Consider the following 12,227-nt stretch of genomic DNA (forward strand, 5'->3'; position numbering starts at 1 on the left):
TGGGAAAACTGGGCCTGTGAGATATGGGAGCTTTTACTATTTTTACAATAATTCTGTAAATCTAAAACCATTCTAAAATTAAAAATTTATTTTTAAAATGCAATATATTTGTTTTCCTTTTAAAGCACTTCCCTCATTCTTACCCAACGGGACACACCTTCTCAAGTACTTAAGTAATTCTTTTTTTTTTTTTTTTTTGAGACTGAGTCTTGCTGTCACCCAGGCTGGAGTGCAGTGGCGCGATCTCAGCTCACTGCAACCTCTACCTCCCAGATTCAAGTGATTCTCCTACTTCAGCCTCCCGAGTAGCTGGGATTACAGGCGTCTGCCACCACACCTGGCTAATTTCTTATATTTTTAGTAGAGACAGGAGTTTCATGTCGGCCAGGCTGGTCTCGAACTCCTGACCTTTAATGATCCACCTACCTCAGCCTCCCAAAGTGCTAAGATTACAGGTGTGAACCACTGTGCCCGGCAAGTAATTCTTATGAACAAATTAGCCTTATAAAGTTGTCATAAACATTATGTGATGTGTGGCCAGGTTAGAGTCCTGTGTGACCCGGTCTGAGCTGGCCTCTGGGCAGCATGCCGTGTGGGGGCTGCCACAAGCTGATTCAGGGAGCACCGGCCTGGGGTGACGCACGCCTGTCGGGCGGAGGGCGGCCTGGGGTGACACGGATGGTGGCCTGGGATGACACGCGCCTGTCAGGCGGAGGGCGGCCTGGGGTGACACGCACCTGTCTGGTGGATGGCGGCCTGGGGTGACGCGCGCCTGTCGGGCGGATGGTGGCCTGGGGTGACGTGGATGGCGGCCTGGGGTGACGCAGATGGTGGCCTGGGGTGACGCGGATGGCGGCCTGGGGTGACGCAGATGGTGGCCTGGGGTGACGTGGATGGCGGCCTGGGGTGACGCGGATGGTGGCCTGGGGTGACGCGGATGGTGGCCTGGGGTGACGCGCACCTGTCTGGTGGATGGCGGCCTGGGGTGACGCGCACCTGTCGGGCAGATGGTGGCCTGGGGTGACGTGGATGGCGGCCTGGGGTGATGCAGATGGCGGCCTGGGGTGACGCGGATGGCGGCCTGGGGTGACGCGGATGGCGGCCTGGGGTGATGCGCGCCTGTCGGGCGGATGGTGGCCTGGGGTAACGCGGATGGCGGCCTGGGGTGACACAGATGGTAGCCTGGGGTGACGCGGATGGCGGCCTGGGGTGACGTGCGCCTGCACCGGGAGCAGCTTCCCTTGGCCAGTGCCCATGTTCCTCTTTTCATTTTTATCTTTTCTGGGGAGGGTAGGGGGACGTTTTACTGTCTTTCCACTGAATGTTATGACCCTCCCCACGCCCCTTGGAGGCACAGCTGAGGTGGGGCCTATGTCTGGCTCCAGGGGGCCCTGAAAGGTACTTTTTACACCTCCCACCCCTCAGCACTGAGAGACCTCGGGAGGGGTACCGGTGACAGGGACGCGGGCCCCACCTTGCTGAACCCAGCAGCGAGGGCATCTCTGCCTCTGTCCCTGGAGGCTGACAGCGGTAGTGTGGGAGCTGGGGCCTGGGTGGAGACCGGGTCAGAAACTCAGGTTTCGCCTGGGTGGGCCATGAATGTCCTGCCGAGGGTGAGACCCTCAGGGCTCTGGGTGGAGAGCAGCACCTGCCCAGAAGCAGTAGACCCTTGTCCCGGCTGCACCAGGGGCCAGCGACCTTGTGCCCTCCTCCATCCTGCAAGCCTCGGGCGGTGCTTGGCCTCACCTGCCTCTGTCTACTCAGGACTTTGAGGCCAGGCACTCCTGCAGGCAGAGAGGGGAATTTCTGAGACTGAAGTTGTTACTGGGTATTTTTTAACAGCGCTGTCTTAAAAAATAGATAGCGTGTCTCTGTGGCCCCGTCTATTCTTGCGGCCACACGAACGTGCGTGTGTGTGTGCAGCTTCCCTCACGGCAGCCAAAACCCAGAGGCCGCCCAGCGTGCGAACACGCCAAGGTGTGACTGTCGGCACGGCACTGCCGAGCCGTGGGAGGGACTGGGTGGTGCAGCGGCCAGTGGATCTCAGACCCTGAGCTGAGCACGACTGGAGAGGATGGGTGCATCCGAGCGTCTGCAGAGCACAGAGCGCGTCCGCAGAGCGGGTCCACACCTTGGGTGCAGCGAGCGGATGTGAGCAGTGTGCCTGTGACCAGGGCTGTCTGCACATCCGCCGGCCTAAGCTGCTGCTCACCGAAACCCACTGGGACTCTGGCTGAGGCCGGCCCCAAGGAGCTTTGCCGAGGAGGGAGCACCTTGCCCCTGCCCAGAGCGGTCCCTCGCATCCTCCTTCCCGTGAACCTGCATCTTTGGTTGCAGTTACAGCTCTCACGCTTCCATCTTATGAATCACAGGAGTCCCGTTGGTTTTGGATGAGTTGACACCAAAAAGACACAGGAGCTCTCTAGAGACACTTCCTGGGGGTCCTGCCGCGTTGGAGCAGGGAGGCAGTAGCTCCTGACGCCTTCCCTCCTACGTGGGCTTTGTGATCACTGATGGTCACATGCGGGGCATTCGGTGGCCTCTGTGTAGAGCCAGTGTCTTCCTGATGTGACACTGGGAACCACCAGCAGCCCAAGCACAGGGACCTTCTCCTGGCCACTGGGCGGGCTGCAAATGTGAGGGCGAATGTTGGGTGCAGGGTGGTGGAGGTAGCTGGGCCTTCCCTGCCGCGGAGGAGGCAAATGTGAGCGCGAATGTCCAGCCCAGGGTGGTGGAGGTAGCTGGGCCTTCCCTGCCGCGGAGGCGGCAAATGTGAGGGCGAATGTCCGGCCCAGGGTGGTGGAGGTAGCTGGGCTTTCCCCGCGGCGGAGTCGCCCAGCTCTGCCCGAGGCCCCTTCCTCCCGCCCCAGCATCAGGGGCTGTTCCACAATGGGTGTCTGGGGGTCCCTGCAGCCTCCCACCTCCCTCCTGGGAGAAGCCTGCACACACTGAGGGGCTGTTTGTTCTTTATTTGCAGAGGTATTGTGGCCAGTATTTTGGTTTTCTTATGTTTTGGAGTCACACAAGCTAAAGACGGGCCATTTTCCAGACCTCATCCAGGTAACTTGCCATTTCCTTTTCCGTGTGCCCCTGTGGCATTTCTGTTCTGAGCGGCCACTCTGTGTCTGTGCTGCTGGGTGTGAGTGTCCTGTCCTCCCCTCCGCCTGGCCCCTCCCCGAGGCCTCCGAGGCCACTTCCCACATGGACAAGGGCGTGGGGTTCTGAGCTGGCCGTGTGCTCCTCCTCCAACCACCGAGGGTCTCTCCAGGCCTTCTCTGGCCCTTTCACTCTTCCCTGTCCAGGGCTCTCCAGCCCTTCTCTTCCTGCTTCTGCCTCCTCTTTCCACAGACCAGAGTGGCCGAGGGCTCCAGATGGGGCTATGAGGCCGGGGGCAGGTGGGTGAGGGCACCAGATGGGGCTGTGAGGCCAGGGACTGTGGGCTCTAGGTGGGACTCTGAGACCAGAGGGGGCGGGGGTGGGTGAGGGCGCCAGATGGGGCTGTGAGGCCATGGGCGGGTGGGTGAGGGCTCCAGATGGGGCTGTGAGGCCATGGGCGGGTGGGTGAGGGCTCCAGATGGAGCTGTGAGGTGCCGCCCACCCCCTGCCCTTGAAGTGGTTGCCCAGCGCACTCTGCCTCAGCCACCACCCCACCTTATGGCCCTGAGTTCTAACAAACCCTCGTGGGCCAGAGCATCCCGCCAATCTCAGTGTACTCTGTCCCCCAAGTCCCACCCCAGGAAGGCGGGCTCAGGCTTCTGTAGGGTCGGTTGTTTCCCCTGAGTGGCCACACGAAGTAATTAGAAACATTTTCTGTTTCAACAGGAGTATGTATTATAGAAAATTTCGAAAATACAAAGATACTTAAAAATAAAGCTACCCACAAATAATAACCACTGTTAAATTTTCACGTGTTTGTGATACGGACATATTCACTTGTTTGTGTATACGGACATATTCACGTGTTTGTGTGTGCGGACATATTCACACGTTCGTGTACGGACATATTCACGCGTTTATGATACGGACATAATCATGTCTTTGTGTATATGGACATGTTCACGCGTTTGTGATACGGACATATTCACGAGTTTGTGTGATACGGACATATTCACGTGTTTGTGTGATACGGACATTCACGCGTTTGTGTGATATGGACACATTCACGTGTTTGTGTGTGGGACATATTCACGCGTTTGTGTGATACGGACATATTCACGCGTTTGTGTGATACGGACATATTCACGCGTTTGTGATACGGACATATTCACGCGTTTATGATATGGACATAATCACGTCTTTGTGTATATGGACATGTTCACGTGTTTGTGTGTACGGACATATTCACGCGTTTGTGATACGGCCATATTCACGCGTTTGTGTGATACGGCCATATTCACGCGTTTGTGTGATACGGACATTCACGCGTTTGTGTGTAGGACATATTCACATATTTGTGTGTATGGACATATTCACGCGTTTGTGATACAGACATATTCACGCATTTGTGTGTACAGACATTCACGCGTTTGTGTGATACGGATATATTCACGCATTTGTGATACAGACATATTCACGCGTTTGTGTGATACGGCCATATTCACGTGTTTGTGTGATACGGACATTCACGCGTTTGTGTGTAGGACATATTCACGCGTTTGTGTGTACAGACATATTCACAGCCTCGAAAGAGTGGAATCCTGAACACGTGGCTTTGTGCATTCTCCACTTCAGGTTCAACGACTTTAGTCATTTCCTTACTAATTTTTAAAATGACTTTAATCATTTAGGTTTAAATGACTTTAGTCATTTCCTTACTAATTTTTTAACACCCGAAATTTTAATGACTGCTTGTTTGCTGTCATTAGAATGTACTACATTTAACTAACTTATTTAAGCCATAATATTGTATATTTAGAGAGTTTCCAGTTTTATTTTAATAAACTAGGCTGTGGTGAATTTTTTCACGTATGCTCTGTGTAAATATCTGATTATTCATTTAATAAAATGTCCCAGAAGTGAGTATTGAATTAAAGGGCATACACAGTTTAAGCCTGTGATATGTGTTATAAAATTGGCCTCCAGGAGAGCAGTGTCTGCCCCAGGGTCAGTGCCATGGTGGTGAGTGAAGCTCCCCCACCCACAGAGGCCCTGAGCAGGGAGCCGTCCGGTGACCCAAGCAGGCTGGTCTTGCTGGCCCCTTCCTTGCCCAGGGCCTTGAGAGAGGGCTCCTTGAGTGCCTGGCAGGCCACTCTGCTGGCTGACAGCTGTGTGGGAAGGGCCCAGGGCCCTGTCTGCCCAGCCGGCTGAGCACAGACGGTCTTGCCTCCAAGGGGTTTGGATTCCTCAGCAGAGCCGTGGAAGGTGCAGTGATGGTGAGAAACTGCCCGTCACACAGTGAAAAGCCTGGCGCCGTGACGGTGAGAAACTGCCCGTCACACAGTGAAAGGCCTGGCGCGGTGATGGTGAGAAACTTCCCGGCACACAGTGAAAAGCCTGGTGCAGTTACGTGCTTGTTGGGTGGATTTGGAGGGAAGAAAAGCTGCCGGAAGCTCAACCCATGGCCGTCCTTGCTTGGAGATGCACCAAATCCCTCCTGGGTGGCGGCATCACTGGGGACTGGGACGCAGCCGTGAGTGGGACAGACTGGTCAGCAGGCAGCAGCTTGTCCTGGCATGTGACCCCTGGCACAGGGAGAGACTCCCGGGAGACCCTCAGCTCTGAGCAGTCAGGAGCTCTGGCGCAGGTCACCTGGCGGGATGTGGAGCATCTGGGCCTGAAGGTCTTGGCGCTTCCAAAAGCTCCGGCCGCGGCGTCTCTTGAGTTGTGGCTCGTCCCCTCCCACTGGGCAGGACTGGGGGTTCCTGGGGTGTTCAGTTTTTAGTCTGAGCTCTGCTCTACCTTTCTTCTGTCCGTTTAGTTTGCTTGGCATAAATTCCATATTACTTTGCCAATCTTCGATTTATTGACGGGGAAGCCTGTCCTGGAGCCACCTTCTTCCACGCGTCTTGTTAACTTGGGGGCCGGCAGGGAGCCCTCAACTCTCTGCAGTCACAACACATTGAAGTGGACAAGTGATGAGTCCTGTGCAGCGGAGGCTCTGGGTGGGGGGCAGGGAGAAGGGCTTTCTCCAGAAAGGTGGTCCCTGTGGGCTCTGCCCACCTTCACACTCCCCTGGGTCTGGCCCAGGAATGCCCAGTCCGGCAGCTGTAGCCGTAGCCATTAGTGACTGGGCCTCATGAGGAGGAGTGGAAATGGGCCCAGCCCGGCCATCTGGGGTGCTGCTTTCTTTGGAAACTTGAGTTGGCTGCAGCTCTGAGGGAGGTGGAACGTTCTGGGCCACTGAGGAGGGCATCCCTCCTGTGTGAACGGCATTTTCTTCCTGGCTCCCTCTGAAGGCTGTGTCAGCCACAGCATTTCCAGGGCTGCTGAGGCTGCCTGTCTGTCTTTCCCCTCTGGTGTGATGTTTAGAAAGACAAATGAGTGCTGGGGCCTGGGGGGTGGCCCTGGGGTCAGGGAGGTGCTGGAGCTGCTCCGGGAAGCGACCCAGGAATGCAGACCAAGGGCCTGCTGGGTATTCCGGGGCGGCAGCCTGGTGCTGGTCGGGTGGGAAGCGTGAGTGGGGAGAGGAGTCCGAGATGCCACCTTTCTGATCTGGGGAGCTGGGGCCTTCCCCAACAGGAGAAACATGAGAAAGATTCGACTTGGCAGTGCGGGGAGGGAAGTTAGTACTGGTCGTGGTGACCTGTGGCCCGCTCAGAACATGATGGTTTCATGGGTGTAGCTGTCCCCTCAGAGAGCGCCTGCAGGCCGGGCACCTGCTCCGAAGGCGTCCCCTTCAGTTGGCGAGCCCTTGTGGGGCGAGGGCTGCCCCGAGTTAATTTCACCACGAGCCCCTCAAACTCTTGGGCCACTGGGAAGTTTCCAGGTTCTTCTTATCCCAAGGCGTGAGGAAGAAGTTTGTGATCTCAGTCGTCTGTCTTGGGTCCCAGACCTCCCTGTGCAGCTTTTCCTAAGAACGCCAGGGCGTTTGTATTTCCTGCCAATGATGGCGGCTTTTCATGAGCCACGGGGGCCGTCTTCCCCTGAGTACGTCGGGGCCTCCTGCGTTTAGTCCGAAAACCTCACGTCTGCACGTCTTGCCGTGAGCTGCTCGGAGCCGTGGGAAGTCAGGAATTGAGGGATGGTTTCATGTTAGAAGTCTGTTAATGTAACTCATCACATCAACATGAAAAAATTGATCCCCTTAAATGCAGAAAAACAAAAATTCACATTCATCCATGACAAAAACTTAACATACTGGAATTGAAAGATTTTTTTAACATGATAAAAAGTATCCTAGCCTGGGCAACATGTCGAAACCCTATCTCTACAAAAAAAAAAAAAATACAAAAATTAGCTGGATGTGGTGGCACGTACCTGTGGTCCCAGCTACTCAGGAGGCTCAGGTAGGAGGATTGCTTGAGCCCAGGAGGCAGAGGTTGCAGTGCAACAAGATTGCACTCCAGCCTGGGCAACAGAGCCAGGACCTTGTCTCAAAAAAAAAAAGTGGCCAGCCACAGTAGCTCACACCTGTAATCCCAGCACTTTGGGAGGCTGAGGCGGGTGGACCATCTGAGGTCAGGAGTTCGAGACCAGCCTGGCCAACATGGTGAAACCCTGTCCCGACTGAAAATACAAAAATTAGCCGGGTGTGCTGGACACCTGTGAGCCCAGCTACTCGGGAGGCTGAGGCAGGAGAATCACTTGAACCTGGAGGTGAAGGTTGCAGTGAGCTGAGATTGCACCACTGCACTCCAGCCTGGGCGACAGACTCCATCTAAAAAAAAAAGGTATCCACCAAAAACCTACTCCAAACTTAACGGCGCAAGTTTAGAAGCATCACTCGTAAACACAAGGCAGGGATGTGTGCTGACTGCTTCTGTGCAACAATTTATGGGCAAAAGATTTGAGTACTGGAATGGAAAAAATGAAGAAAAAAAATTCACTTTTCAGAGAGAAATTGTGCCTAATTCTGAGTTACAGCTTTCTTTATAAAGGCTCTCCCAGGGGCCTGTGAAGGGCCCAGAAGAGACACTGGGTGTGAAGGAGCCAGGAGCCGGCCTGGGGCTGAGCGGGGCCGTGGAGGCCTGGACCGGGCGCACTAACGTTCTGTCGTCTGTCTTTGTAGCTTACTGGAGGTTTTGGCTCTGCGTGAGTGTGGTCTACGAGCTGTTTCTCATCTTTATACTCTTCCAGGTAAGCTGTTTTTCTGGGTTGGATACCTGGGAACTTAGGTGACAGTGTGGCCCCAGGCATGGTGACAAAGGAGGCCTTGCCCACACAGCCCTCGAGTGATGGGAGGAAGCAGGGCTAGACCCCCACAAAGTAGGCCGAGCTGCGGGGGGTCTCCAGGAGCATCTGTGCGGCCCTTGAGTGATGGGGGGCAGCAAAGCTAGACCTTCAAAACGTAGGCCGAGCTGCGGGGGGCCTCCAGGAGCATCTGCTGGTGGGGCGCTGACTGTGGCCATTTAGCAGGGCCACACTTAAGGAGGGCAGGGCCAGTGGTGCAGGCACAGAAGAGGGCAGGGCCAGTGGTGCAGCTGCCAGGGTGGCTTTGCCCACAGCTGTCGTATCTGAGTGCTGGTGGGGACTGGGCGTGAAGGGAGCCGCAAGTCAGGTCCTGCGATGCAGGCCAGCGTCTGCATGGCCGGGGCAAATCTGGGCCTCAGAGGGGACCCCAGCGCCAAGAGGGACGGGGTCTTTGTTTTTGTGTTTTGTGGTTGACCAGTGTGACTGTGTGTGCTTCTTCCCCATCCTGACCACATTCTGCAAGACGAGCAGGGTGCAGGTGGGAGACGCAGCTCCTTTGTAAATCCTGGGTCAGGCTGTGTTGCTGCTGCAAATGCCTACTTTATTAATACTCTTTGTTCTGTTTAACTTAGTGTAAACACACATTTTTGGGGCTGTCTTCAGCTTACAAAGGACTTTATTATTCCCAATCTTAAAACTCCATCAGTGCATGATGAGATTTTTTATCATCGTGGCAAAATTGACTTTTCTGAGGCAGTGTACATTCTGTGAATTTTAGCATTTGTGTAGACTTCTAGAAACACAATTAGGACGCACAAGAATTCCACTGGCCCTAAAACTCCTTTGTGTTACCCCTTGGTAGTCATACCCGGCCCTGACCCCTGACAGCTGGTGAGGGTTCGCTTCTGTCTCTTCTAGAATGGAATCGTGGGGTGGGCAGCCTCTTCCCACCCTGCACAGTGCCTCTGAGGTTCACCCAGGATCATGCGGTGGGCAGCCTCTTCCCGCCCTGCACAGTGCCTCTGAGGTTCACCCAGGATCATGCGGTGTGCAGCCTCTTCCCGCCCTGCACAGTGCCTCTGAGGTTCACCCAGGATCATGCGGTGGGCAGCCTCTTCCCGCCCTGCACAGTGCCTCTGAGGTTCACCCAGGATCATGCGGTGGGCAGCCTCTTCCCGCCCTGCACAGTGCCTCTGAGGTTCACCCAGGATCATGCGGTGGGCAGCCTCTTCCCGCCCTGCACAGTGCCTCTGAGGTTCACCCAGGATCATGCGGTGGGCAGCCTCTTCCCGCCCTGCACAGTGCCTCTGAGGTTCATCCAGGTTGCATGTGTCTTCCTGCGCTCCTCTTTCTTTTACTATTTATTTTTTGAGACGACGTCTTACTCTGTCACCCAGGCTGGAGTGCAGTGGTGTGATCTCAGCTCACTGTAGCCTCCACCTCCCGGGTTCAAGTGATTCTCCTGCCTCAGCCTCCCAAGTAGCTGGGATTACAGGCACCTGCCACCATGCGCCACTAATTTATTGTATTTTTAGTTTCATCTTGTTGGCCAGGCTGGTCTTGAACTCCTGACCTCAAATGATCCGCCTGCATTGACAGGGCACGGTGGCTCATGCCTGTAAACCCAGCACTTTGGGAGGCTGAGGTGGGCGGATCACAAGGTCAGGAGATGGAGACCATCCTGGCTAACACGGTGAAACCCCGTCTCTACTGAAAAATACTAAAAAATTAGCCGGGCGTGGTCGCGGGCGCCTGTAGTCCCAGCTGCTCGGGAGGCTGAGGCAAGTGAATGGCCTGAACCCGGGAGGCAGAGCTTGCAGTGAGCCGAGATCACGCCACTGCACTCCAGCCTGGGCAACAGAGCGAGACTCCGCCTCAAAAAAAAAAAAAAAAGATCTGCCTGCCTTGGCCTCCCAAAGTGCGGGGATTCCAGGTGTGAGCCACCACGCGCGGCCTGGGCTCCTCTTTCTCGGCAGTGACAGTTTCTCAGGCCCCTTGTTTTTGGTGAGCTGGACGGTTTCGAGGATTGGTCATGATCTAGTAGAATATCCCTCAAGTGACATTTGCAATTGGGAAGTGTGAGTTCACCCAGTTTGTTCTTTTTCAAGATGGTTTTGAATCATCTGGGTCTCTTGCGTTTCCAAATGAATGTGAGGGTCACCCTTTCCATTCCTGTGAAAAGAACAGGTGGAATTTTTTATGGGGATTGCATCGAATCTGCAAGTCTGTTTTGGGAGTAGTGTCATCCTGACAATATTAACTCCGTCAGTCCTTGAAGATGGGATGGCTTTCCATTTATTTAGGTCTTTAATTTCTTCCAACAATGTGTTACAGTTTTCAGAGTTTAAGTTTTGTACTTCCTTTATTACATTTACTCCAATTATTTTGTTCATTGTGTGCTCTTGTAAGTGGAACTGTTTTAATTTTACTTTTGCATTGCTCGTTACTCATGTATGGAAATGTAGCTCATTTTTGTGTACTGATCTTGCGTCCTGCAACCGTGCTGAACTGATTAGCTCTAATAGTTGTGGTGTTTTGGGGTAGACTCTTAAGAATATTCTATATTCAAGATTATGTCATCTACAAATAGAGATAGTTTTACCTGTTCCTTTCCAATCTAGATGTCTTTTATTTCTTTTCTTTTTTTTTTTTTTAGACTGAGTTTTGCTCTTGTTGCCCAGGCTGGAGTGCAGTGGTGTGATCTTGGCTCACCGCAACCTCCGCCTCCCAGGTTCAAGCAATTCCCCTGCCTCAGCCTCCCGAGTAGCTGGGATTACAGGCATGCACCACCATGCCCAGCTAATTTTTTTTTTTTAATTTTTAGTAGAGACAGGGTTTCTCCATGTTGAGGCTGGTCTTGAACTCCTGACCTCAGGTGATCCGCCCACCTTGGCCTCCCAAAGTGCTGGGATTATGGGCATGAGCCACCGTGCCCGGCCGATGTCTTTTACTTCTTTGCGTAGCTGCCCTGCCCAGAACCTCCAGCTCAATGTTTCCTAGAATAGGCAAGGATGGGCTTTTTTTTTTTTTTTTTGAGACGGAGTCTTGCTCTGTCGCCCAGGCTGGAGTGCAGTGGCACGATCTTGGCTTACTGCAAGCTCCGCCTCCCAGGTTCTAGCGATTCTCGTGCCTCACCCTCCGTAGTAGCTGGGATTACAGGAACATGCTACCACACCCGACTAATTTTGTATTTTTAGTAGAGTCGGGGTTTCACCGTGTTGGCCAGGCTGGTCTCAGAACTCCTGGTCTCAAGTGAGCCACCGCACCTGACTAATTTTTTAACTTTCTGTGGAGATGAGGTTTCGCCATGTTGGCCAGGCTGGTCTCAAACTCCTGAGCTCAAGCGGTCTGACCCCTTTGGCCTCCCAAAGTGCTGGGAGTATAAGCATGAGCCACTGTGCCTGGCCAGATGGACATTCTTATCTGATTCCTGATCTTAGGGGAAAAGCATCCAGTCTTTATCCCACTGAGTGTGTTAGCTGTGAGTTTTTCATAGATCTCCTTACCGAGTGGAGAAAGTTCTGTGAGTTTTTTGTAGATCTCCCTACCGAGTGCAGAAAGTTCTGTGAGTTTTTCGTAGATCTCCCTACCGAGTGGAGAAGGTTCTGTGAGTTTTTCGTAGATCTCCCTACCGAGTGGAGAAGTTTCTGTGAGTTTTTCGTAGATCTCCCTACCGAGTGCAGAAAGTTCTGTGAGTTTTTCGTAGATCTCCCTACCGAGTGGAGAAGGTTCTGTGAGTTTTTCGTAGATCTCCCTACCGAGTGCAGAAAGTTCTGTGAGTTTTTCGTAGATCTCCCTACCGAGTGGAGAAGGTTCTGTGAGTTTTTCGTAGATCTCCCTACCGAGTGGAGAAGGTTCTGTGAGTTTTTCGTAGATCTCCCTACCGAGTGGAGAAGGTTCTGTGAGTTTTTCGTAGATCTCCCTACCGAGTGGAGAAG

At 53.7% G+C, this 12,227-nt stretch overlaps 1 protein-coding gene across 11 annotated transcripts in view, besides 3 other annotated features; it reads left to right on the forward strand.

The window, feature by feature from the left end:
* The window catches only part of PTDSS2 (phosphatidylserine synthase 2), a 43,132-nt gene that overhangs the window by 22,650 nt on the left and 8,255 nt on the right, over positions 1–12,227 (forward strand). For 10 of the 11 annotated variants that reach the window (XR_002957201.2, XR_242827.2, NR_138046.2 and 7 more), the window contains 2 exons: positions 2,978–3,060; positions 8,168–8,235. Coding sequence is in view for 6 of the 11 variants with exons in the window: in XM_047427642.1 (XP_047283598.1) it covers positions 2,978–3,060; positions 8,168–8,235 (151 nt within the window). In the remaining 5 variants the exon portion in view is untranslated. The remainder of the gene's footprint in view (positions 1–2,977; positions 3,061–8,167; positions 8,236–12,227) is intronic. The other variant, NM_001329545.2, reaches the window with a different exon arrangement.
* Positions 417–940: an enhancer, noted in NCBI's record as "H3K27ac-H3K4me1 hESC enhancer chr11:471334-471857 (GRCh37/hg19 assembly coordinates)". NCBI's record gives its function as "activates a minimal SCP1, AML or CMV promoter by ChIP-STARR-seq in naive H9 embryonic stem cells {active_cell/tissue: H9 hESC(naive)}" and the evidence as "EXISTENCE:reporter gene assay evidence [ECO:0000049][PMID:30033119]".
* Positions 941–1,463: an enhancer, noted in NCBI's record as "H3K27ac-H3K4me1 hESC enhancer chr11:471858-472380 (GRCh37/hg19 assembly coordinates)". NCBI's record gives its function as "activates a minimal SCP1, AML or CMV promoter by ChIP-STARR-seq in naive H9 embryonic stem cells {active_cell/tissue: H9 hESC(naive)}" and the evidence as "EXISTENCE:reporter gene assay evidence [ECO:0000049][PMID:30033119]".
* Positions 5,976–6,971: an enhancer, noted in NCBI's record as "H3K4me1 hESC enhancer chr11:476893-477888 (GRCh37/hg19 assembly coordinates)". NCBI's record gives its function as "activates a minimal SCP1, AML or CMV promoter by ChIP-STARR-seq in primed H9 embryonic stem cells {active_cell/tissue: H9 hESC(primed)}" and the evidence as "EXISTENCE:reporter gene assay evidence [ECO:0000049][PMID:30033119]".

Source organism: Homo sapiens, chromosome 11 (assembly GCF_000001405.40).
Source record: "Homo sapiens chromosome 11, GRCh38.p14 Primary Assembly".
In the NCBI taxonomy this organism is placed as follows: domain Eukaryota; kingdom Metazoa; phylum Chordata; class Mammalia; order Primates; family Hominidae; genus Homo; species Homo sapiens.